The sequence below is a fragment of the Homo sapiens genome, chromosome 2, assembly GCF_000001405.40.
Source record: "Homo sapiens chromosome 2, GRCh38.p14 Primary Assembly".
In the NCBI taxonomy this organism is placed as follows: Eukaryota; Metazoa; Chordata; class Mammalia; order Primates; family Hominidae; genus Homo; species Homo sapiens.
Window position 1 is genome coordinate 42,387,940 of NC_000002.12, and position 26,289 is coordinate 42,414,228.

Consider the following 26,289-nt stretch of genomic DNA (forward strand, 5'->3'; position numbering starts at 1 on the left):
GGCAGTAACTAGTAGCAGAGTCGGGCACTGTTCTTGGAGCCAAGAAACCCAGTTCCTGGACCTGGGTCCACTGCCACTAGCCATGTGACATTGGGCAAGCCACCTAACCTCCCTAAGCCTTGCTCGTGCCTGCCTTGCTTACTGCTTGTGGCAGTCAACTAAGTTAACATATACAGATGTGTGTTTTAAACTCTAAATCACTGTGCAAGCTCAGCTAGAAATTATTGGCAATGCCAGGGATGTGGGGGTCCATGCCCCCTCCCTGAGCACCTGGCATAAGGAGCCTGACAGCAGGTGGACACCGCGAGGAAATGATCTTTGGGTGATCTCACCGTTCCCACTCAATACTATTCCCGAAAGAGACCCAGAGAGCTGTGTTCCTTTCTGTCGATAATGAAGTGAGCCCTAAGAATAAACGTTTCACATTTATTGTTCTTTAAATAATAAAGCAATTGATATTCACTACAGAAAATAACAGAGAGCAAAAACAAGAAAATGTACATACTCACTGTCTTAGCTTGGGCTGCCATAAAATACCACAGACTGGTGGCTTAAACAACAGGAATGTATGTTCTCACAGTTGAGTTCTGGGGTGCAGGGCTCTCTTCCTGGCTTGTGGGCTCGGCTGCCTTTTCGCTGTGTGCTCACATGGCTTTTCCTCGGTGTGTGTGCACAGAGACAGCTTTCTTCTTGTCTCTTCTTGTGAGGCCACCAGTCCTATTAGAGTAGAATCCTATGATTGCATTTAACCTTAATTACTTCCTAAGAGCCCTATCCTCAAATACAGTCACACCAGGAGTTAGGGGTTCAACATATGAATTTGGAGGTAGGGGGCACAATTCAGTCTATGGCACCCAATAGTCTCACCCGCCTAGAGAAAACCACTATTTATACCTTGATATATCTTGTCTCCTTCTTCTAAGCACATAATTTTTTTTTTGAATGAGATCATACTATGTAGATTACTTTGTTTTGGTTTTTGTTTGTATTTTATTTGAGAGGGAGTCTCGCCCTGTCACCCAGGCTGGAATGCAGTGGCAGGATCTCGGCTTACTGTAACCCCTATCTCCCAGGTTCACGCGATTCTCCTGTCTCAGCCTCCCGAGTAGCTGGGATTACAGGCACCTGCCACCACACCCAGCTAATTTTTGTATTTTTAGTAGAGACAAGGTTTCACCATGTTGGCCAGGCTGGTCTCAAACCCCTGACCTCAAGTGATCCTCCCCCTTCAGCCTCCCAAAGTGCTAGGATTATAGTCATGAGCCACCTTGCCGGCCCCATGTAGATTACTTTGTAACCTGCTTTTATCACTTAACAGTGTATGATCATAGTCTTTCCACATCATCAAACATTTCCCCAACATCGCTGTTAGTAACTTTGTAAATTCTTTGGCATGGCTATACTATTGTTCCTATGGTCCCTAAATTTGGACTTCTGGTTTCTTACCAACTTTACTCAGAGTGCTGAAAGAAAGGCCCTTGACTATTTCCTGGGAATGAAATGATGGGTCAGTGGGCACATACATTTCTAAAGATTTTAATGAGCAGTGTCAGAACATTTGGACCCATTTATGCTCCCAGTAGTAACAAATAAAAATGTGACTTCACTTTTTCAAGAATAAACTTTTTATTTTGGAATATATTTGTATCTACAGAAAAGTTGTAATTATAGCATGAGGAGTTTCTGAAAACACCTCACCCAGTTTATCCTAATGTTGATATATTACCTGACCATTGTGCATTTGTCAAAACTAAGAAATTTAAATTGGTATGTCATAATTAACTAAACTGCAGACTTTACTCACATTTCACCAGTTTTTTCCACTAAGGTTCTTTTACTGTTCCAGTATCCAGTCCAGGACACCACACCATATTTTGTGTGGCATCACTTTTTAAATCTTATTTGTTATCAACTGCAAGAAAGTCCCTGGTGCTTTGGGGGCTTGCTGTCTGTGATGCTAACTAGTGGTTATTCATTGTTTTGGGGTATGTCTTGTTTCTGCCTATATTTGTTTCATCAGCAAAGTTTACTGTTGTATAGGGCAGTGCCAGAGATTTAGAGAAAGTGACCATGGTGGCTTACTGCCCCCACCCTAACTTTGTAAAGAGCCAAGGGGAAGGCTCTCTATGTGGGAAAGGACATATGTGTGTTCCTACTGCATCTCCCATGTGAATGTCATGCAGGAAACATTTATAAACAACAGCACCAAAATTGGATTTTGCTCTATATTTGGAAAAATTTGGCCCTTCATTACAAAGCAAGCTGATGCTATCTTATTTAGTTCATTCTTTTGCTCATCTCCTGTAATCATTAAATTACAGAGCCATATTTCCAAAGCTCTAAGAAAAAAAATGGATTAGGAATAAAATCTTTTAAGCTCCTTTAGAAAAGCTCTGGATTCATTTATGAATGGTGGATGCAGATCCCAGGGAATGATCTATTCTGAGCCATCCTGGGTGAAAGATTGGCTTCATTTTCCGTAGCTCTACAATGTTCACTCTCTAATGCAGAACAAGGATGGTGCCTTTAATATTTTGTTCCTGGATGTATTCCTGATTGCTGCATGACCCAATCCCCAGGGGCAAAAGTGAACGAAGGAGTGAGAAATGATATACGTGAATGATCAGGAGGAAGACAAAAATTTTAAAACCCAGGGAAACAAGGCTGCTGTGTTGTTTATCAGACTCCTCTGAATAAGGCCATTTTGATCATGTGGACTTATTCCTCACCTTTCTCAGAACTGTCAAACTGAAAAAGTCTTTGTTCTTTCCTTAGAGAGGCCTGTTTCTCTTAGATGACTCGAAAACTTAACAAATAATCAGTGAGCTATTAGAACAGCTCTCCCACCAGCATTCACAGGCTGTTATCTTCCTAGCTCCAAATCTGTCTGAAACCATGATTGATTCACTTATATTTTCATTTCCCCTCATTTTCTCCGAGAGTCCAATTTGGACTCTTTTCAGCAAGGTTCATTGGGGACACCTATTTGTTTCTCTGGGCAGTCCAGTTTTGCCTTAGGATTTCCCCCAGAGTCACCAACTCTCATTCCGGAGGAAAGTGCTGTAGGCTGAGCTCCCAGGTTCAGCTGGGGAATCTTCAGGAAGGACTCTTCTGGAGAGCGCTGCTGTGACTATTTTCCTCCCAGACAGCTCTGCCAGGATGTGGCTCTGCAGGCCAGATTTGCATTCCAAATACAGGGCCCATTTGCCTCATTATGTCTTGTGTCTTTATTAAGAATGAGGGGAAATTAGAGCAGAAGAACATTTCTAACATGGTGCTATTGAAATCCCCCAGCAAGCCATCTCCTACTCATGGAGCGCTCCACATTGTCCTCACTTCTATGACCAGAAGACAAGCCCCTAATGGTTGCCTAAAGACCCAGGGCAAAGTGACCTACCTGGTTCAACACCCATAACTCACAGCTCACTAGCATGAGCTCAAACTCTGCTTCCAGCACCTTCTAGCTTGCAACAGCATCCTTAAGATTGGCTTATTTACAGCCAGTTTGGGGACCAAGGATTGAAACAAAGTGGCAACAGAAACAGACCAAATTTCTCTCTACAGCTTCCTGAGAAAGCTGTCCTTCCCAGCCTTCTCAATAATCAAGAGTAGATGTCTAGCATACACTTGTCTCTCTTTTAAACATTTTATATCTCTTTTTTTTTTTTTTTTTTTTTTTTTGAGACGGAGTCTCGCTCTGTCGCCCAGGCTGGAGTGCAGTGGCGGGATCTCGGCTCACTGCAAGCTCCGCCTCCCGGGTTCACGCCATTCTCCTGCCTCAGCCTCCCAAGTAGCTGGGACTACAGGCGCCCGCCACTACGCCCGGCTAATTTTTTGTATTTTTAGTAGAGATGGGGTTTCACCGTTTTAGCCGGGATGGTCTCGATCTCCTGACCTCGTGATCCGCCCGCCTCGGCCTCCCAAAGTGCTGGGATTACAGGCGTGAGCCACCGCGCCCGGCCTAAACATTTTATATCTCTTGTCTTTGATGAATTCCATCAATAAAGATGTTTTTACGGTGCCAGGCACTCATATCAGTATCTTAAAATTTGGCCCCCTATTTTTCCTACCAAAGATACAGCAAAATCTTAGGGATCTCTTTATTCATAACAATTAGAGCATCTGAAATTCGCTAAATAATTATTTCATCAGTTTAATTCAAATAAAGTCAAGATGTACCAAAGCCTATGCCTAAGAAAATGATGCTAAATGTCAGAAATGCCTTATAGGCATGAACTCAGGAGGCTCTCCCTGCCACCTTCCTCTAATGCATTCAGGGAAAGGGAGTTTGTCTCCCGTCTGCTCTTAGTCCATGCTGCAGCCCACATCTCCCTGCCCTGCCAGGTCACCTGGTCCCTTCCTCTAGTCTCTGCTTCTCCTTGGCCCTTTGCTTGTTGCACTACTAGTTACAACCTGAAACTTTGGGATCTCCTTCCTTCACATCCTGGGTGTCAGGGAGTGGGTAATGCCAGGGGAGGATGGGTGTCCCCCACCTGCTGATTCTCTAATACAACACTGTGGTGGTAGCAGATTCAGGGGTGGTAGTGCACAGCTGTTACTGAAACACCAGGGTTCAGTCTAGGTCCTACTGCTGGCAGCATAGAAAGCCAATCACTGAGACAACAATTATGGCCAAAGAGAAGGCTTTAGTTGGGTGCTACAGCCAAAGAGATGGGAGCTCGGTCTCAAATCCATCTCCCTGACTGACTAAAATTAGGGCTTTATAAAGCAGGGAAGAAATGTAAATATATATGGGAAAATAGGAACTCAGGAGGGGTAAGGAAGTAATCTCGATGAATGAGGGTCCTGGCATCTCATCGTCTGGACGCAATGATCTAGTAAGCTTCAGTTCTTTGATACTTTTGAGAGTCCTGGGGATCCTTTCCTGAGGAAAGAACTCAGATACAACAACGTGAGTTTCAAGCTTTAAGACCAGAAGCGTCAATTTCTATGTGTATCAAAACAAAACAAAACTGTCTATGGGAGTATTGGGTTGATTTCACAGCCGTATCAGTTAGGATTGGGTTCAGCTATGTTGATGCAGTTTAAGTCAGTCAGTCTAGCACAAAGTTTACAAACACAAATTGTTATTATATTAAGCCCAAATTAATTAACTTTGGGCAAAATAGCTAATCTCTCTGTGCCTCATTTCTTATCTGTAAAATAGGGATAATAATAGTACCTGCTTCATAGAGTTGGTAGTAAGAGAATTAACTTAGTACATAATCCAAGCATTTAAAACAGTACTTGACATGCAATAAGTGATTATTATGATAAAACAGGAAAACAAAAAAAAACAAAGAATTTTATTTATCTCTTACATTAAAAAAAAAAAAAATGCCCAGGCACGGTGGTTCAGGCCTGTAATCCCAGAACTTTGAGAGGCCAAGGTGGGCAGATCACTTGAGGTCAGGAGTTTGAGACCAGCCTGGCCAACATGGTGAAACCCTGTCTCTGCTAAAAATACAAAAATGAGCCGGGCGTGGTGGCGGGCACCTGTAATCCCAGCTATTCTGGAGGCTGAGGCAGGAGAACTGATTAAACCCAGGAGGCAGAGGTTACAGTGAGCTGAGATTGCACCACTGCACTCCAGCCTGGGCAATAGAGTGAGACTCTGTCTCAAAAACAAACAAACAAACTGTCCAAACATAAGAAGTTCAGAGCTGGTACAGCAGCTTCATAGTACTGTTAGACTTAGACTCCTATCTTTCTGTTGCTTCTTCAAGATTACCTCATAACACAAGGTAAGTGCTGGAGCTCCAGTCATTGCATCCAAATTGCAGTCTAGAAGGAGGAGGAAAGGCAGATGGGCCAAAAGAGGTTATCTTGACTGAGTAAACTTCCCCCTTTTTTTTTCTCGAGACAGAGTCTCGGTCTGTCGCCCAGGCTGGAGTGCAATGGTGCAATCTCAGCTCACTGCAACCTCCACCTCCCAGGTTCAAGCAATTCTCCTGCCTCAGCCTCCCAAGTAGCTGAGATTACAGGTGCCCGACACCATGCCCAACTAATTTTTGTACTTTTAGTAGAGATGGGATTTCATCATGTTGGCCAGACTGGTCTTGAACTCCTGACCTCAGGTGATCCACCTGTCTCAGCCTCCCAAAGTGCTGGGATTACAGGTGTGAGCCACTATGCCAGGCCATAAACTCCCTTTAATTAGTCTTCCTGGGATTCTGACATAACACTTCTGCTTACATTTATTGCCCAGAACTTGAACACACTTCTTAAATTTTATTGACCAGAACTGGGTCACATGACCATGACATGCTGCAGGGGAAGCTTGGAAGCTCTTTATTCCAAGTGATAAGGGGCCCAACAAAAACTGCTAAAAAGGCAGGGAAGAGTAGACATAGGGAGACACAGTCTGCCGACACCACGGCACAGCAAACAGCCTAAGGGTGGATATCAGGCTTCTCTTTTCCAAAGCTCCTCAGCCATTCCCTCCCACAGGGGAGTTTTCATCAGCTACCATTCTCTCCTTCTGCTCTAACTTACCTGTATTACTTAGCTCAGGCCTTCTCTAGACCCTTGTCACACCTACACCCTTCTCACATCTTCCTCTTTTTTTCTGTGAAAGGAAAATAAATCTTGGGGTCCCCAAATCACTAAGCTAAAGGGAAAAGTCAAGCTGGGAACTGCTCCCATTCTATTCAAAGTCAGCCCACTGCTCACTGAGATAAATGCATATCTGACTGCCTCCTTTGGAGAGGCTACCTATGACCTGGAAGCCCCTCCCTGATTTGAGTTGTCCCGCCTTTCCAAACTGAACCAACATTCATCTTACATATGATGATTGATGTCTCATGTCTCCCTAAAATGTATAAAACCAAGCTGTACTCTGACCACCTTTGGCACATGTTGTCACGACCTCCTGTCACCGGCACACGTCCTCAACCTTGGCAACATAAACTTTCTAAATTAATTGAGACCTGTCTCAGATATCTGGGGTTCACACTTTCTAGTCTCAGACCACTCCAGAAACTCCAAATTCTCCTTGGTGTAGTACTGAGCAATTCATCTTCCTCTTGACACTGCCCTCACCTGTATCTGAATGCCAAGGGGCCCTGCGATGGCTGGGACAAATCTTTCTCAACCAAAATGCTCATCAGAGCAACCAAAGCATTTTTCTAAATCAAAGAATAACTGAAGCTGGTGGACTGAATACAGGTATTTACTCCTGCCCCCTCTCCAACTCCTCTAATTCATCGGTTATAGATTTATAAAGGATACAAGCCCATGGGGACAAACAATGAACTGGAGAGGAGACAACAGCAATGTTCTGGAAACTGGAAAGCACATGGAGAAGTGGTCCATGATTTAGGCAGTTCCAAGAAAGTTGAGTGATAAGCCAGCAGGTGGAAAAAAAACACACAGCACTCCCTTTTACAGCACACTCACAAAGGCCAGGATTGGGTAGTAGCAGTGAGTGGGGAGCCAGAAACAGGAAGACTGGTGGAAAGGCTGTTTAAGAAGGAGTTGGGGCCAGGCGCGGTGGCTCACACCTGTAATCCCAGCACTTTGGGACTACAGGTGCGCAGGAGGAGCTGGGACTACAGGTGTGCATTTTTACTGTATTGTTTACTTTGGTAGATGTAATAATGATGTCTGTGTTGGACAATGTCCTTATTTATTGGATTGTATGCATAAGCACTGGTGCTCCTTGACTTAAAACAGGATTACGTTTCAGTAAACCCATCATAAATTGAAAATGTTGTAAATTGAAAATACATTTAAGCCAGCCATGTTGACTCACGCCTGTAACCCCAATACTTGGGAGACTGAGGTTGGAGGATTCTTTGAGGCCAGGAGTTCAAGACCAGCCTGAGCAACACAGCAAGGCCCCATCTTTATAAAAAATTTTAAAATTAGCCAGGTGTGGTGGCACACACCTGTAGTCCCAGCTACTTGGGAAGCTGAGGTGGGACACTTGAGCCCAGGAGGTTGAGGCTGAAGTGAGCTGTGATCAAGCCACTGCACTCCAGCCTGGGCAACATGTTGAGCAAAACCTTGTTTCAAAAAAAAAAGAATATGCACTTAATACCCCTGACTCACAGAACGTCACAGCTTAGCTTAGCCTACTTTAAACATGCTCAGAACACTTGCATTAGCCAACAGTTGGGCAAAACCATCTTATACAAAGCCTATTTTATAATAAAGCATTGAATGTCTCATGTAATTTATCAAATACCATACTGAAAGTAAAAATGGAATAGTGACATGGGTACTCCAAGTATAGTTTCTACTGCATGTATATCAGTTTTGCATCATTGCAAATTCAAAAAAATCATTAAGTTGAACCATATAAGCCAGGGACCATCTGTATTTATACGTGAAGCATCTAATGTCCATAAATTTCTTTAAAATTTTGTCCATTTTTCTAAAAATCTCAGGAAAAATAGATGCATCAGATATGCCAAAATGTTAAGAATTTCTTAATCTAGGTGTGGGGAAGTATTGGGATTTCATTGTCCTATTTCTTCTGTTTTTTCTTTTCTAGTTTTTCCTTTTCATAATAAAAAGTCCAACCAACCAAAAACAGTCAGGGAATGACAAAATAAACTGTGACGGAACTTCTCCAAATTCCACCAGAAGAAAAGTAGGCAAGAAGAGGTCAGTTTGGTGGCTCCTGCAGTCATTTCTACCTGAGTCCACAAGGGCCAGTGAGAGCTGGGGAGAACCAGTTCAAGACCCCTGGGAAAGTCAAGATTCTAATCCTGGAAAGTTCACGCCCAAACTTCAAGTTCAGGGCAGGACAGATTGAAGTTGGGGGTCACAGAGCATGGTTCAGAGCTTGGCAGTGAGAATTCAAAGCCAAGGATGGAGTTTCAGGAAATTGCTTTGAAAACTGATGGATGGGTAGGAGAGGTCAGGCACATGCTGTAACCACTAAAAATTATGTTTACACAAGTCACTCGTTGGGGCATGATTTGTTATAGTAAAAAAAATTAAAAGAATGTTAGTTGTTTAGGGAACTAGTTGAATAAACTAAAATAAAGCCACACAATGGAGTAATGGGTGGCCATAAAAAGCAATGAGAGGCTGGGCACGGTGGCTCACACCTGTAATCCCAGCACTTTGGGAGGCCAAAGTGGGTCAGCATTTTGAGACCAGCTTGGCCAACATGGCGAAAACCTGTCTCTACTAAAAATACAAAACTTAGCCAGGCGTGGTGGCAGACACCTGTAATTCCAGCTACTCAGGAGGCTGAGGCAGGAAAATCGCTTAAACCCGGAGGTGGAGGTTACAGCGAGCCAAGATCGCACCATTGCACTCCAGCCTGGGCAACAGGAGCAAAACTCCATCTCAAAAAAAAAAAAGAGAAAAAAAAAGCAATGAGAAAAAACTCTAATCACGGAAATGGGATGGTTTCTAGGATATACTGGCAGAAAAAAGCAAGGTATAGTATATGTTACTTTTCATGTGGGAAGGAAGGGGTAATATATGTAAGTACCTGAAAGACACACCATAGACAAATAAGCACGATTACTTACAGGAGGAGAAAGAGACTGACAGAGGAAAGAGATTGAAGCTTACCTATACATATGCCTATTATATATTATAGTTTCAACTTTGGAATTATGGTTTACATATTCAAAAATTAAATGAAAAGAAAAAAGAGGCTTATAAGGACTGAAATCATGTAAGAAAGTATTGTGATATTAGGTATAAAGGTGACACACATCTTATGTTCAAGCCTTTGCATGGGATACTGACTGGGAGGAGGTACATTACAATGCTCTGTGGTTGCTTTGAAGAATGGGACTGGGTGTTTTCCTCTTCTTTCTACTTGCTTATATTTTCAAAATTATCTTTCATGAGTCTGAGTTCACTTAATAATGGTGAAAAATAAGAATGTGTTTTTAAGAAGACATGTTTGTGTTATGCATGAGAAAATCTGGCATTTGTATGGCCCTTTTAGAGTCTGTTCACTCTCATATGTAGCTAGCCACTTAATTCTCACAACTCTAACAGGCAGACATTGTCTTTAAAATCAAGAAGACGGGCTGGGCACGGTGGCTCACGCCTGTAATCCCAGCATTTTGGGAGGCCGAGGCAGGCAGAGCACGAGGTCAGGAGATCGAGACCATCCTGGCTAACACAGTGAAACCCTGTCTCTACTAGAAATACAAAAAATTAGCCGGGCATGGTGGCGGGCGCCTGTAGTTCCAGCTACTCGGAAGGCTGAGGCGGAAGAATGGCGTGATCCCAGGAGGCGGAGCTTGCAGTGAGCCGAGACCGCGCCACTGCACTCCAGCTTGGGTGACAGAGCGAGACTCTGTCTCAAAAATAAATAAATAAATAAATAAATAAATAAATAAATAAATAAAATAAAATAAAATCAAGAAGAAAGAATAATACTTGAGAATTGGACCCTGAGATCAGTGCTTTTTGCCATGGTTGCTTCCATCATTTTGGTGGCCCTTGTTTTGCTCAACTTCTGAGCATCCAGTCTCTTCCTCTGGCCAGAGGTAAGATGACAGTGTCCCAGGAAGAGCCCTGGGAATCCCATGAAAAATCTAAGCAGGTGAGTTTTGAGACATACGCATTATGGAAGACTCAGAATGGCTTTGATAAGCATTGTAACCTTCCAGATTAAATAAACCGTCTTCCAACAGAAACCAATCTTTTGTTATTAATTCTGAAACGGCCCAGGAGCAAATACAACTTGCAACAGTAGAAGGTTCATTCCTTTTACTCTGCAAGTGATGGGATCCACAAGATGTCAACAAGCTGTGAACATGCACACAAAGATGCGAGAGGCAAGGGGAAATGTTCTCACGTATCCAAGGGACAGGAGCCGGGCTCATTTTGGGAACTCAGGGATAAGAGGACAGACCTTCACAAATCTTGCTTACAGTAGGGTCCCAGAGCTCCAGGGAGAAATGGAAAAGGAATTTTTGACATGTCAGCACTGTGAACATTACTGACTCGAAGAGAGACACCAAGGGTGCCTCAACCACTGGGAGCTCTGCCTGGGCAGGAATCGCCTCACCCTCAGCATCTTTTCAATGTTCATTGCCTTGTAAGGCTCATCTTTTGTGAACTGCCTGTTCATATCCCTGGCCCGTTTTTTAATATTGGGTTGTTCTTTTTTTCTTTTCTTTTTTTTTCTTTTCTTTTTTTTTTTTTTTTTTGAGACAGGGTCTCACTCTGTCACCCAGGCTGGAGTGCAGTGACTGCATCACAGCTCACTGCAGCCTTGACCTCCTGGGCTCAAGTGATCCTCCCACTTCAGGTTTCCGAGTAGCTGGGACCATAGGCATATGTCACCACACCTGGCTAATTTTTGTGCCTTTTATAGGGACAGGATCTTGCCCCGTTGGCCCAGGCTGGTCTTGAACTCCTGGACTCAAGTGATCTGCCCTGCCTCAGCCTCTCGAAGTGCTGGGATTACAGGCGTGAGCCACCGCGCCCGGCCTGTCCTTTTCTTTTTTATTTGTGGAAGTTCTCTATTGTAGATACTATTCCTCTGAGTAACGTGATGTTAAAATAGGGCTCTTTCAGCTTCAATTCTAATCTTCAGTCAGAGCTACTGACATGTTATATAGCAAATACCAAAGTGAGAGTGAGGCTGGCTCTCCCATGCAGCATTTATTTATTTATTTATTTAGCCTTTTGACCAGGAAACACATGCAGAATTTACAAAGAAAATTTCAGAAACAAACTAGTTCAATAATTCTTAGACTCCTCAGTCACATCAAGAATAATTAAAGGGTAAGAGTGTGGAGACAGAAGAGAAATTTCTGAAGAGATTTTGATGGAGAGAAACTTGTTGCTGCACTGTGAGCAGTTCCCATCCCCTCTCAGCTTAGGTGCACAGGGTTGCTTTCTCCTTTGCCGGAATCCTAGGGAGAATGGGCTTCTATGACACTACTCAGGAAGCTTGATACGTCTCTCCCTACAGTTGGGGGTCACCATGGACCAGGGTCTGACTCCTGCCTTAGAAACTCAAGTACCAGCAACCTTCCACTCTTTGAGTTCTTCAGGACAAAGGATGCATCAGTGTTTCTATGGACAACATGTGAGCAGGCTGGGTGCAGTGTCTGTGGTCCCAGCTATTCAGGAGGCTGAGAAGAGAGGATCGCTTGAGCCTGGAAGGTCGCGGCTGCAGTGAGCCATGATCACACCACTGCACTCAAGTGTGGGCAACAGAACGGGACCCTGTCTCAAAAAATAAAAATATGGGCAGTGTGGGAGAGGGCTGGCATGGGTGGTCTTAGTCCTGTCCAATAGGTCCACTTCAAGGAGCAAAGGGAACCCAGTAGAAAGAAGCTAGAGATGAAGCCCAATTGGAAGGAAACACAAGCAACCACTCACAATAAAACCCATCTGTCAAGGTCAAGGGACCTGCAGGATGGAGGTCCCTAGGAAGAGAATTTCCTAAGAGACCATGACAGTGCCCATGAGACAACAAAACATGCTTTAAACTCTACCAAGCTCAGAATTCAAAGCCAGGTTATGAGAGGACTTTTCTATCCCATTTGCCATCCCTCTGTTCCTACATCTGGACCTTGGAAAGATAAAAACTGGGCAGCAGGCTTAAAGTTGGAGGAGTTGAGAGAACCCACAAGAATGAACTAAAGAAAAACACCAAACACCCCCTCCTTGTCACCCACCTGAAGCAGACCTAAGTTGGAGGAGGAAAGAAATTTAGACAGTAAATGAAGTTCATAGTTTTTATTAAGATCTTGGATGGATAATTCAATATATAAATTGAGACTAGGCTTATGTCTTGTGACTAAGTGACTCTAAGATTTATTATCTAAGAATGAACAGAAAAGTCTTGGACCTGCCGGAGTTTTTATCCAGGAGCAAAAAAAGATTATCCCACTGGAAAAAATGGGTTTTTTTTTTCCCCTATGGTATTTTTGTTACAGCAACCAACCCACTGAAATTTTTAAAGGAAGTTGGAAACAAAAAAAGAAGTTGTTTTTGGTTATTCACCAGTGATGCTTGTCCAATATACTAAAATTCATCTATTATAAATATTTCATCTCTCTTCTCTCAGTCTGTCGTCTTTTAATTTATGAATGGTGACTTTTGTCAAAATAAGCTCTATATTTTAATATTAAATGTATTGTTTTCTCATTTTAAAAACACATGTGTGTATATAAATATTCATACATATATTTACATTTAAAATGTATATGTATATATTATACACTTGTCTATATGTATATATAAATGTATGCGTATATATTATATATACATATTTTTTTCCTCTGGTGTATACATGTTTATATGTATACACACACAGAAAAATATATGTATATATAATATATACACATATGAAAATACAGGTATGTATATATGTATAATATGTGTATACATCCACACACATTTTAAAAAGAAGAAAACAATACATTTAATATCAAAATATAAAGCTTGTTCTAACAAAAGCCACTGTCCATAAATTAAAAGACAATAGACTAGGAGAAAGGAGCTGAAATATTTATAATAGATGAATTATATAGAGAAAAATATATTTATATAAATATATATACATATATGTATTTTTGGAGACAGGTTCTTGCTCTGTCTCCCAGGCTGGAGTGCAGCGGTGCAATCACAGCTCACTGCAGCCTCAACCTCCTGGGCTCAAGCGATACTCCTACCTCAGCCTTCTCAGTAGCTGGGGCCACAAGTGCACACAACTGCGCCTAACTAATATTTTTAAATTTTTTGTAGTGACAGGGTCTCACTATGTTGCCCAGGCTAGTCTTGAAGTCCTGGGCTCAAACAATCCTCCTGCCTCCCAAAGTGCTGGGATTACGGACGTGAGCCACTATGCCCAGCCTCCTTTTAAAAATATTTTAAAAGAAATACTGTGACACCTGGGAGGCTGAGGCAGGACGACTGCTTGAACCCAGAAGGTGGAGGTTTCAGTGAGCCAAGCTTGCGCCACTGTACTCCAGCCTGGGTGACACAGCGAGAATCCGTCTCAAAAAACAAAAACAAAAAACAAACAAACAAACAAAAAACCAGAGAAATACTGTGATGGTTAATTTTCTGTGTCAACATGGCTGGGCTACGGGATGCCCAGATAGCTGGTAAAACATTATTTTTGAGGGTGTTTATGGGGGTGTTTATGGAGGTATTCGTATCTGAATCAGCACACTGAGTAAAGATCATCCTCATTCATGGGGATGGGCATCATCTAATCTGCTGAGAAACTGAATAGAACACAAAAGCAGAGGAAGGGTAAATTTGCTGTCTCTCTGTGAGCTGGGACATCTACCTGCCCTTGGACATCAGAACCCCTGCTTCTCAGACCTTCGGTCCAGACTGAATTACACCACTGGGTTTCTAGGTTCTCCAGTTTGCAGACAGCATATCGTGGGGCTTTTTGGACTCCAATATCATATGAGCCAGTTCCCTAAATAAGTAAATCAATCCTATTGGCCTGTTTTTCTGGAGAACTCTGAATAATACAAATACTTTCCTTTTAATGGTTTTAGTTTTGGGCCAGGTGTGGTGGCTCATGCCAGTAATCCCAGCACTTTGGGAGGCCAAGGTGGGAGGATTGCTTGAGCCCACTAGTTCAAGACCAGCCTGGGCAACATAGTGAGAACCCATCTCTAAAAATAAAAGTTTTAAAGTTTTGTTTTTTCACGCACAGATGTTTAATTCAGCTGGAATTCGTTTTGTGTATGGTATGGGATAGAGATTTTATCTTTTTATAGAAAGTCAATTTTCCTATTACCATTTATTGAACATCCACCCTTTCCCACTGATCTGACAGAGCACATCTATCATATAACAAGATCTCACAATATTTGGGCTCTGTTTTGGGGCTCTTTGTTCTGTTCCACTGATCTATTTGTTTATTCTGTATCAATATCTACCATTTAAATTACTCTAGACTTATGCTGCCTTGATTTCTGGTACTAATTCTTCCTTTTCAGAATTACGTTTGAATTGTCACAGCTGTTCATCTTCTATATGAATGTAAAAAATGTTTGTCAAAGGGCTACCAAAAAAATTTATTGGGAATTTTTGTTAGGATCACATTGAATTTATAGATCAATTTGGGCAGAATCGCCATTTTGAGACTACTGAATCTTCCCTTTCATAAACATGATTTGGTTCTTCTTATGTGACTTTAAATGTATTTTTATAGGTTTTAAAATGGGAGTTTGCCTTTTATTTCTAAGTATTTTCTTTGTCTTGTTAATGTGAATGGTCTCTCTCTTATTGTTTATGTGCCTTTTCCTTTTTGAGACAGGGTCTCACTCTGCCACCTAGGCTGGAGTGCAGTGGCACGATCATGGCTCACTGCAGCCTCAACCGTCCCAGGCTCAGGCGATCCTCCCACCTCAGCCTTCCGAGTAGCTGGGACTACAGGCACACATCACTACACCTGGCTAATTTTTGTATTTTTTTCTGGAGACGAGATTTCGCCATGTTGTCCATGCTGGTCTCGAACTCCTGGACTCAAGGGTTCCTCCCACCTTGGCCTCCCAAAGTTCTAGGATTACAGGCATGAGCCACCATACCTGGCTTATTGTTTCTGTTCTAATTGGCTATTTCTTTTCTGTTTTTTTTTTTTTTTTTTTTGAGACAGAGTCTCACTCTGTCACCCAGGCTGGAGTGCAGTGGCACAATCTCAGCTCACTGCAACCTCTGCCTCCTGGGTTCAAGTGATTCTCCTGCCTCAGTCTCTCTACGTGACTTTTTTTTCTTTTTTTTTTTTTTTGTATTTTTAGTAGAGACGGGGTTTCACCACGTTGGCCAGGCTGGTTTTGAACTCCTGATCTCAAGTGATCTACCTGCCTCGGCCTCCCAAAGTGCTAAGATTACAGGCGAGAGCCACCGTGCCTGGCCTAATTTTTTAGTTTTTTGTAGAGATGAGGTCTCACTATATTGCCCAGGCTGGTCTTGAACTCCTGACCTCAAGTGATCCCCCCATCTAGGCCTCCCAAAGTGCTGGGATTACGGGCATGAGCTACCCTGGCCCTAGCTGCATTTATGTTCTTAAGATTGTACTTTAACTTTCTTCTGTTTTACTCTCTTTATCCAGTTTTGATATTAAAGTTATACTATCTTCACAAAATAAGCTAAGTAACTGTTTCTATTTTTCTTTTCTCTGGAACAATTTGCATGATATAAAGGTTACCTTTTTTTCTGGGAAAACCGGCCCATAAAACGGTCCAGGCCTAGTAACCTTTGCATGGGCATTTGGGAGGCAGTTTTGAATACCTAGTCAGTTAATTTTATTAGTCTATTCTGGTTTTCAGTGTTAGCTGGGACAATTTTGGTAATTTACATTTTCTAGGAAATTATCCATTCCCCTAAGTTTTCAAATTTCTTGGCACAGAATTGTTGATAGTATTCTTTTCATCAGTTGTGCCTGATACAAGGAAGAAGAACCCCTGTTTCAATGAAGGGAACTGGGAGCTTACAAAATTGTTGACAAGGCTAGAGAAGTGAGCTCTAGAAATGACTCCCAGAACAGTCTAGAGCTGTCGAGAAGAGCTGCCAAGTATGGCACCATTAGTAAAGTGGAGCCAGGCGCGATGGCTCACACCTGTAATCCCAGCACTTTGGGAGGCCGAGGCAGGCAGATTTGTGTGAGCTCAAGGGTTTGAGACCAGCCTGGGCAACATGGCGAAACCCCATCTCTACTAAAAATACAAAAATTAGCCGGGCGTCGTGGCACACACCTTAGTCCCAGCTACTTGGGAGGCTGAAGTGGGAGGATTGCTTCAGCCCGGGAGGCGGAGGTTTCAGTGAGCTGAGATTGTGCCACTGCACTCCAGCCTGGGCAACGGAGGAAGACCCCATCTCACCAAAAAAACAATGGAAAGTAGGGAACCAGATGCTGCCACTGGGGGAGTATACTCAGTGTATACAACTGAGTTCAAGTATACACGGCAATGATTGCAATCCCGGGTCACAAAGCCATGGTTAAAACCACCACTGACTCTTAAGAGCTGTAACTAGATATGGCACTGCTGATTCCAGCTGCTGTTGCTGCTGCTACAAACAACTCCCCAGACCCCCAAAGCCGGATCCTGGACTCTGAGTTTGGCAGCAAAAAAAGTCAGTCCAAAGTTTTAGAATTATGGCCATTGCTTCCCTTCTTCCAACCAAATCTCACACAACTGCAGCTAACTAGCAAAATCTGATTCTCATCTAGAAACCTAATTGAAATGCAGTTTTCAGCTTTGTAATCTCTGTAGTTAGGCAAATGCCCTCGAAGGAGATGGAAATAACTATCCAGTGCCAATCAACTATATCTAATACGTCTGGAATCACGTTTTATAGCTCTCTACTATACATGCAGTTATGTGCACTCTCTTGACCTAATATTATTTACCTTTTCTTCCTCTCTTTTTCTCACTTTTGGCAGATGTCTATTTTGTCTTTTCAAAAGAATTGCTTTTGGTTTTGTTGATTTCTCCTTTGTGTTTGTTTTCTGTTTCATCAATTTGTGGTTTTATCTTTATTCTTTCACCCCTTCTGCATTCATTGGGTTCAGCTTTTTGTTCATTCTGCAGCATTTTTTTTTTTTTTGAGACGGCGTCTCACTCTGTTTCCCAGGCTGGAATGCAGTGGCGTGATCTCAGCTCACTGCAGCCTCTGCCTCCCAGTTTCAATCTATTCTCCTGCCTCAGCCTCCTGAATAGCTAAGATTACAGGCGTCTGCCACCACATGTGACTAATTTTTTTTTTTTCTCTTTTTGAGACAGAGTCTCACTCTGTCGCCCAGGCTGGAGTGCAGTGGCGCAATCTCAGCTCACTGAAAGCTCCGCCTCCCGGGTTCACGCCATCCTCCTGCCTCAGCCTCCCAAGTAGCTGGGACTACAGGCACCCGTCACCAAGCCCGGCTAATTTTTTTATTTTTAGTAGTGATGGCGTTTCACCATGTTAGCCAGGATGGTCTCGATCTCCTGACCTCGTGACCTGCCCGCCTCGGCCTCCCAAAGTGCTGGGATTACAGGTGTGAGCCACCGCACCTGGCCTAATTTTTGTATTTTTTAGTAGAGACAGGGTTTCGTCATGTTGGCCAGGCTGGTCTTGAACTCCTGACCTCAGGTGATCCACCTGCCTCAGCCTCCCAAAGTGCTGGGATTACAGGCGTGAGCCACCATGCCCAGCCCATTCTCTAGACTTAAGTTGAGCACTAAATGACATGTTTTCAATATTGTTGTTTACTAGTAACAACACTGCTTTATCTGCATCCCACAATGTTTGATACTTCGCTAGTGTATTTTACAGGGTTTCATTGTCATTCAGTTCCAGATATTTGGTACCTTTCCCTGTCCTTTTTTAACACATTAATTTTTTTTTTTTAAGATGGAGTTTCACTCTTGTTGCCCAGTCTGGAGTGCAATGAAGTCATCTTGGGTCACTGCAACCTCTGCCTCCTGGGTTCAAGCAATTCTCCTGTCTCAGCCTCTGGAGTAGCTAGAATTACAGGCATGTGCCACCACACCTGGCTAATTTCGTATTTTTAGTAGAGATGAGGTTTTTCCATATTGGTCAGGCTGGTCTTGAACTCCTGACCTCAGGTGATCCACCCACCTCGGCCTCCCAAAGTGCTGGGATTACAGGCATAAAGCCACCGCACCAGGCCTAATGCATTATTAAGAGGTGAGGCAGGCTGGGCACAGTGGCTCACGCCTGTAATCCCAGCACTTTGGGAGGCTGAGGTGGGTGGATCACAAGGTCAGGAGTTCGAGACCAGCCTGACCAATATGGTGAAACCCCATCTCTACTAAAAATTTAAAAAAATAAGCCAGGTATGGTGGCACATGCCTGTAATCCCAGATACTTGGGGGGCTGAGGCAGGAGAATTGCTTGAACATATGAGGCAGAGGTGGCAGTGAGCTGAGATCGCACCACTGCACTCCAGCCTGGGTGACAGGGTGAGACTCCTTCTCAAAAAAAAAAAAAAAAAAGAAGGAGGCTTTTGGTTTACAAATATAGTGTGATTTCTGGGCTTTCATTTTATTGTTGGTTCCTAATTTTATGGCATTGTGATAAGAAACATTCTATATGATAAAATTTCTTTAATATTTGTAGCCAACGCTTTTTAAAAAAAGAATTATCTAACTTGCATCAGAGAGTGGTCCACTGTTAAAAAAAAACAAAACACAAAACACTTCACATCATGCTTGATAAGAATTCATATTCTCTATTTGTTGGGTACATGCTTCTATACAAATCTACCAGAATACATTTGTCAGTTGTCTTTTCAAGTCATTAATATCATTGTTTTTATCTGCTTGATCTTTTTTTTTTTTTTTTTTGAGACGGAGTCTTGCTCCATCGCCCAGGCTGGAGTGCAGTGGTGCTCATGGCTCACAGCAGCTTCAACCTCTTGAGCTCAAGCAATCCTCCCACCTCAGCCTCCTGAGTAACTTGAACTACAGGCGTGCGCCACCACACCCAGCTAATATTTTTAGAGGCGGGGGCTTTACCATGTTGCCCAGGCTGGTCTCGAACTCTTGGACTCAAATGTTCCTCCCACCTTGGTGATGGCAACAGCAGCCTGTCTGGAGCGGATGCTGCCATCACACTGGCTGCAGGAGGGAGGGGCGGCCAGGGCTGCACACCCTGTGGAGCCAACAACAAGTGGGAGCCCCACCTCTTCTGAATTGGTGGGGTGGGAGCTCCCCAGGTGCAGCCACAGCCATCCAAGTCATGGCTGTGGACCCAGGCCTCCTGCTCCTCCAGGGAGCCCCGCTTGGGGGGCAGCTGCAGCTGCCCAAATCACAGCTGCAGACCCGGGCCTCCCTGTGCTCTTGCAGGTGCCAAGAGCAAGCAGGAGCCCTGCCCTCCCTGGTGCAGCTTCAGACCCGGGCCTCCCTGTGCTCTTGCAGGTGCCAAAAGCAAGCAGGAGCCCTGCCCTCCCTGGTGCAGCTTCAGACCCGGGCCTCCATGCAGCAGGCAGGAACCCCATCCCCGCCAACTCTGGGGCAGCTGCAGCCACCCAAACCGTGGCTGTGGACCAAGGCATCCCTACACTCTTGGGGGCCCAGAAAGCCCCACCTGACCTTGCAGGCTCGGAAATGCCTGCTCCCACTGCCTGACTTCTCCCTGCTGTTGGTGCCCACGCCGATCTCAGAACAAAGCTGGGGTGAAGACAGCCAGGTGTGCACAGGCTCAGGGCAGTGCTGACATGCTAGCCCCCTGCCACCTTGGCCCCCTCTGGACTTTGGGTGCCTATGAGCATGGGTGGGAAGCCAAGTGGGGGCTGAGGGCAGCTCAGCACTGGCTTGCAGAAGCCCCTTGGCAGGAACAGCCTGGGCGCCATGAACAGCAGCGGGAGGCAAGACAGGCTCCTGGGCGTAAGAGGGCGAGTCCCCGGTGAGGCCCCACCTTCAGGCCACATAGGGCCTGAAGGCTAGGGGCTGGGCTGCCTGTCCCGCAGACCAGAATGGGAACTTGTGGTGCCTTTTCTGGGCCCGCTCATGGCCGCTAATGGAGCAATTGGTGTGCACTTCCTCCCCTCAGAGGCCCATAAAAGCCCAGGTTCAGCTAGAGCTGGGCAGACCTCAGGATGACCAGCTGCAGAGAGGAGCTACCCACTCCAGGGCCTCCTCTCTGCTGAGAGCTGCAGAGATTTTGGGACAACCTACCTGCAAAGAGGAGCTTCCCACCCCAGGGTCTCCTCTTTGCTAGGAGCTGAACACTTGTTGGGACACCCTGGAAGCAGAAAGGAGCTGCCCCCTGTGGTAGACTGAGCTGTTCTAGTGCTCAATAAAGCTCCTCTTCATCTTGCTCACCCTCCTGCTCACCCTCTGCTTGTCTGCATACCTTATTCTTCCTGGTTGCAGCACAAGAACTCGGGACCATGGAATGATGAGGTTAAAAGAGCTGTAACACAAACAGGGCTGAAACATGCCCCTTGCTCACCACGTTGCTGGTGAAGAGAAGTAGAGAAGAGCTGCAGTCCTTTGCGGAGCCCAAAACTGGGAGCTCCCTGAGGCAGGGCTGTGATTCCCTCTTTGGGGCCCTGCTGTTCCTGGTGTCTCCAAGTTTCTGAATGCTTGTTCCCCGATGCAAGCCATGGAATCTGCTTGTGGTGGTACCTGGTCCGGCCGCAGCCTCACAGAGAGCCAGTGCCTGTGCTGGCACCTGGAGCTGCCCACCCCACTGCAGCAGCCAGCATGTCTGACTGTGTGCAGTGGCCAGACCCCACACTCACTCACACACCCCTTGCCATTCCATGTCTGACTTGCCCTTGGTGGTGTGGGATCCAGGCTGGCAGCAAGAACCAAATGCAGCCTGCCAGGCCAAGTGAGTGAAATGACTCCAGCGGGCCCGAGCAAAACTTGGGGAAAGGTACCACTGGCCACAGAGGTTTCCTGCCAGAAAAACGACACCCCAAATATCCTATAATTGCTGCCACCCAAATCAGCCTCCCTCTGTGCTGGAAATACAGGCATGAGCCACCATGCCTGGTGATCTTTTAATTAAAAATTATTTTTCAAATATTTTTAATAGATAATCCATTCAAAGCATTTTTTTAAGGCTGGGCGAGTTGGCTCACACCTGTATTCCCAGCACTTTGGGAGGCTGAGGCATGAGGATTGCTTGAGCTCAGGAGTTTGAGACCAGCACAGGCAACACGGTGAAACCTGTCTCTACAAAAAGGTACAAAAATTAGCCAGGCATGGTGGTGTGCACCTGTAGTCCCAGCTACTCGGGAGGCTGAGGTGGAAGGATTGTTTGAGTCCAGGAGGCAGAGTTTGCAGTGAGCCATGATTGTGCCACTGCACTTCAGCCTGGGTGACAGAGTGCCTGTCTCAAAAAAAAAAAAAAAAAAAAAAAAAAAAAATTTTTTTTTAAATTATACAGTGAAAAAGCTCGCGCTCCCACCCTGTCTCCTTAAACCCAATGCATCCCACTCCCAGGTAACCTCTATTCTTCCCCAATAATACTTATTTGGCTATAACGTGATTGACAATTGACTTTTGGACCTCCAGGTCTCCTAGCCAGCCAGCTGCCTACTACACTCATTGCAGTCATTTCATGAAGCTTACAGTAATGTGATCACATAATTTACACCACTCAATTTTTGGGCCCCACTTAGAACTTTTGGGTTTCATAATCAAATATGAATCTATGTTTATTTTCCCACCCCCTTCCCACACAAAAGGTGGCATACTATATATACTGATGTGTACGTAGCTTTCTCCATTCAATAATAATTCCTGGAGATCTTGCCATAGGTGGATAAGAGCTTCCTACTTCTTTATTGTTGTTACCTAGTATTCCATTGTTGGATGTCTCAGATGTTATTCACTTGGTCATATTTTGGGGGCAATCGGATTATTTACAATCTTTTCTATTATATACAATGCACAATGAATAACCTTATATGTATGTCAGTTCATACATGTGTGGGTATATCTGTGGTATACATTATCAGAAGTGGTACTGCTTGATCAAGGGATACACGCATTTGCAATTCTGACAAAAATTGTCAAATTGAATTCTAGAGAGGTTGAAACAATTTATAATCCCATCCACTGTTTTCCCCAAAGCTTTACCTATGGAGTATATTATTAAACTTTTGAATTTTTGACAACTTGATAGGTGAAAAATGGCACCTTAGTCTAGATTGAAATTGCTTTTCTCTTATTCTGAAAGATGTTGAGTATATTTTCATGCAAGTAGGGGACTTTATATTTTCTAGAGACTTTATATTTTCTATGTAAAACTGTTCATATGCTTTGCTCATTTTCCTATTTGGTTGTTGATTCTTGTTTTATTGATTATTGATCATAAGCTCTTTTAGTTTTTAAAAAACATTTTTTTAAGCTTTTATATAAATTAGGGGGCCTGGTCCTTTAGGATGTAGTTCCAAGTTGTTTTTCTTTTTCCTAAGCTTTTCATTTGTCTTTTGACTTTGCTTCTTTCTTTCTTTCTGCAATGCAAAACTGTACAGTCAAGGTTGGAAAGACTACTTCGTTATGCCACAGTTAAGAAGGAATTCTCCTATGTTTCCTTCTAGTACTTTTATGGCTTTATGTTGTACATTTATCTTTAACCTTTAACCACTGGGAGTTTTTCTGGTGTATGCTTTGCGGGTGCCAATTGCTTTTTCCAGATAACTTTCTGACTGTTTCAATACAATTTATTGAGTAGTCTATCCTTTATTCACTGATTTGAGATAGTTCTCTTAACATATATAGATATTTTCTCATGCATTTTAATCTTTTTGATTTTCTGTTCTGTTTTATTGATATGTCTATTCATTCATCAATGCTCAACTGTTTTCATTTTTGAGGGCTAAGTGTTTTAAGATCTGGTATGTCCAGTTCCCCTTCATTGATTTACTTTTTTCAATTTTATTCTTGCCATTCTTGTTTATTTTTCCATAGGAATATTAGAATCAGCATATCTAGTTTTAAACAAGTGTCAGCATTTTTATTGCTCCTACATTACATTTATAAATTAAGTTAGAGAACTGAAGTCTTTATGAGGCTTAGTCTTCTGATCCAAGCACACGCAAAGTTTTTCCATTTGTTCAGGTCTCCTTTAGTGTCCCTCAGTGCTATTTTTAAAGTTTTCTTCATACATGTCTTATATTTTTTTTTGTTTGAGAGAGAGAGCCTTACTCTGTCACCCAGGCTGGAGTGCAGTAGCGTGATCTCAGCTCATTGCAACCTCCACCTCTTGGGTTCAGGCAATTCTCATGCCTCAGCCTCCCTAGTAGCTGGGCTTACAGGTGTGCACCACCACTCCCAGCTAATTTTTGTATATTTAGTAGAGACAGGGTTTTGCCATGTTGGCTAGGCTGGTCTCGAACTCCTGGCATCAAGTGATCTGCCTGCCTCGGTCTCCCAAAGTGCTGGAATTACAGGCATGAGCTACTGCGCCCAACCAGGTCTCATACATTTTTCATTAAACTGATTCCTAGTTATTTGTACTTGCTACCATCAATTGGTACTTGACCTTCATTCTCATCTACTTCTCTGTTTCCTACTGAAATACAAGGGCTGAAAGGCTAAATAAATAAATCACATTTCCAAGACTATGTGACAGCAAATTCTAGATATGATTTAGCTTTGATGAATCAAATACATACATACATACAAGAGCAGGAAGATGGAAAAGACGTGGAGCCCCTTGTCCTCCTGCTGTGGTGGCTGGCAAGCCAGGTTGAACTGACTACCCCTGGACTCAATATTCCAGTGTCTAGTCACTACCTTTGTGGACATGAGAAGATTGTGGTGGCAGCAGCAGTGACAGCTTCCTGACATCTGAATTACAGCTATGATGATATGACTTTGAAATCATTACTCCCACGACAGTCCTCAACTTTATGTATCTTCTAAAATTTTATCTAACACTCATTTAATACATACTAGCTGCCAGAAACTGTTACAAGCAATTTTTCAAAATTATATATGTGAAGGCCTAATTATTTTGGAAGCAGCTAATTCCCCATCTTCTTTTGTACTTGAAATTCTTGGAGTGACTTTGGTTTCCTAAACTGATTCAAGGTTCTTTAGTGTGACTATTATAGTACTAGGTTCACCTTCTGTCATTATACCTTATGTTTGTATGTGTAAAAACAGACATCGATTTTTTAGATAGTGTGTTAAAATCTCCCATTATGATTGTAAATTTGTCAAATTCTATTAGGTTTGTTTTATATATTTTAACGCTTTTATTGGATGTAAAGAAATGCATGATTCTTATTTCTTGGTAGACTGTTTCTTTCTGTGAGATAAAATAACCTTTGTGCATATTTCTGCTTAAATGTTATTTGGCCTGATAACATTATTTTATCATTTATATTATACTATATTGTTACACCAACTTTCCTTATACTAGTAATTGAGAATTTTGTTTGTTGAGAAAGAAATACATTCACATGGTTCAAAATTTAAAAGGGCATTCAGTGATGTTTTCTTCCCACACCTCACCCCCAGCTACTCAGTTTTCTTCCCTGCTGGCGTCTGAAATACCTTTTTCCATTCCTTTATTTTTAATTACTACGTCACATTTTTTAGAAATGTTTCTTTCTTTTTTATTTATTTTTATTTATTTTAGAGATGAAGTCTCACTCTGTCACCCATGCTAGAGTGCAGGCAGGCTAGAATGCACCCAGGCTGGAGTGCAGTGGTGCAATCATAGTTCACTGCAGCTTTTATCCCCAGGGCTCAACTCCTGCATAGTTTACAGTGGCCTTTAACTCCTGGGCTCCCACCTTAACCTCCCAAATAGCTAAGACTACAGGTGTGTGCCACCATGCCTGGGTAATTTATTTCTATTTTAATTTTTAGAGACAGGGTCTCACTACATTGCCCAGGCTGGTCTCAAACTCCTGGGCTCAAGCAATCCTCCCTCCTCAGCATCCTGAGTAGCTGAGATTATAGCCAAGGAGTGTCCCTCATAAATAGTATTTTTAAAATCCAGTCAGAGTCTCTGCTTTTAATAGAGGAATTTAATAGCAATATACTAATAGTGATCACAGACATACCTGGATATAGATTGGCCATCTTGTTTTTTTCTATTTACTGTTCTTTTTTATCACATTTTTCTTTCTCTCTTGCATTCTACCAGACTGATAAAATTTTCTTTATTCCATTTTTCTTCTTCTAATGATTAAGAAGTTATATATTCTATTTCTAGTCTTCTAGTCATATCACTTACATTTTAAACCTTTTATTTTGTATTTTTATTAGTCCGTTCTCACACTGCTATAAAGAACTACCCAAGACTGGGTGATTTATAAAGGAAAGAGGCTTAATTGACTCACAGTTCCACAGGAGGGAGGCCTCAGGAAACTTACAATTATGCAGAAGGGGAAGCAAACATGTCCTTCTTCACATGGCAGCAGCAAGGAGAAGTGCCCTGCAAAAGTGGGGAAAGCCCCTTATAAAACCATCAGATCTCGTGAGAACTCACTATTGCGAAAACAGCATGAGGGTAACCATCCCCATGATTAAATTACCTCCCACTGGGTCCCTCTCATGACACATGGGGATTATGGGAACTATAATTCAAGATGAATGTTGGCGGGGGACACAGCCAAACCATATCAGTATTTTTCCAGCAAAGTCTAAAGCTAACCAGTATTTCTGAACAAAACAATGATCTTAACATTCTTTAGCTTTCTTCTGAAATACCTACTTGTTTTTGGCCTAGAATGTAATTATCAGCTTGCCTTTAAATACACACACAAAAACTGTTGTTGTTGTTATTATAATTATTATTTTATTTAAAGTTTGTCAACATGTTTTACCAATTTCTCTTTTTCACCTTTTCTTGTGGCATCATGCTCTTTCCTTTTGGATTCATTTTTCTTCTAGCCAAAGCAGT

The 26,289-nt window shown here is 43.0% G+C and overlaps 1 protein-coding gene across 1 annotated transcript in view; it reads right to left on the reverse strand.

The window, feature by feature from the left end:
• Window positions 1-412: 412 nt before the first annotated feature.
• The window catches only part of KCNG3 (potassium voltage-gated channel modifier subfamily G member 3), a 105,631-nt gene continuing 79,754 nt past the window's right edge, over window positions 413-26,289 (reverse strand). The window contains exons 4-5 of the transcript XR_007069666.1: window positions 25,760-25,821; window positions 413-717 (exon numbers count right to left, since the gene is read on the reverse strand). The gene's annotated coding sequence lies outside the window, so the exon portion shown is untranslated. The remainder of the gene's footprint in view (window positions 718-25,759; window positions 25,822-26,289) is intronic.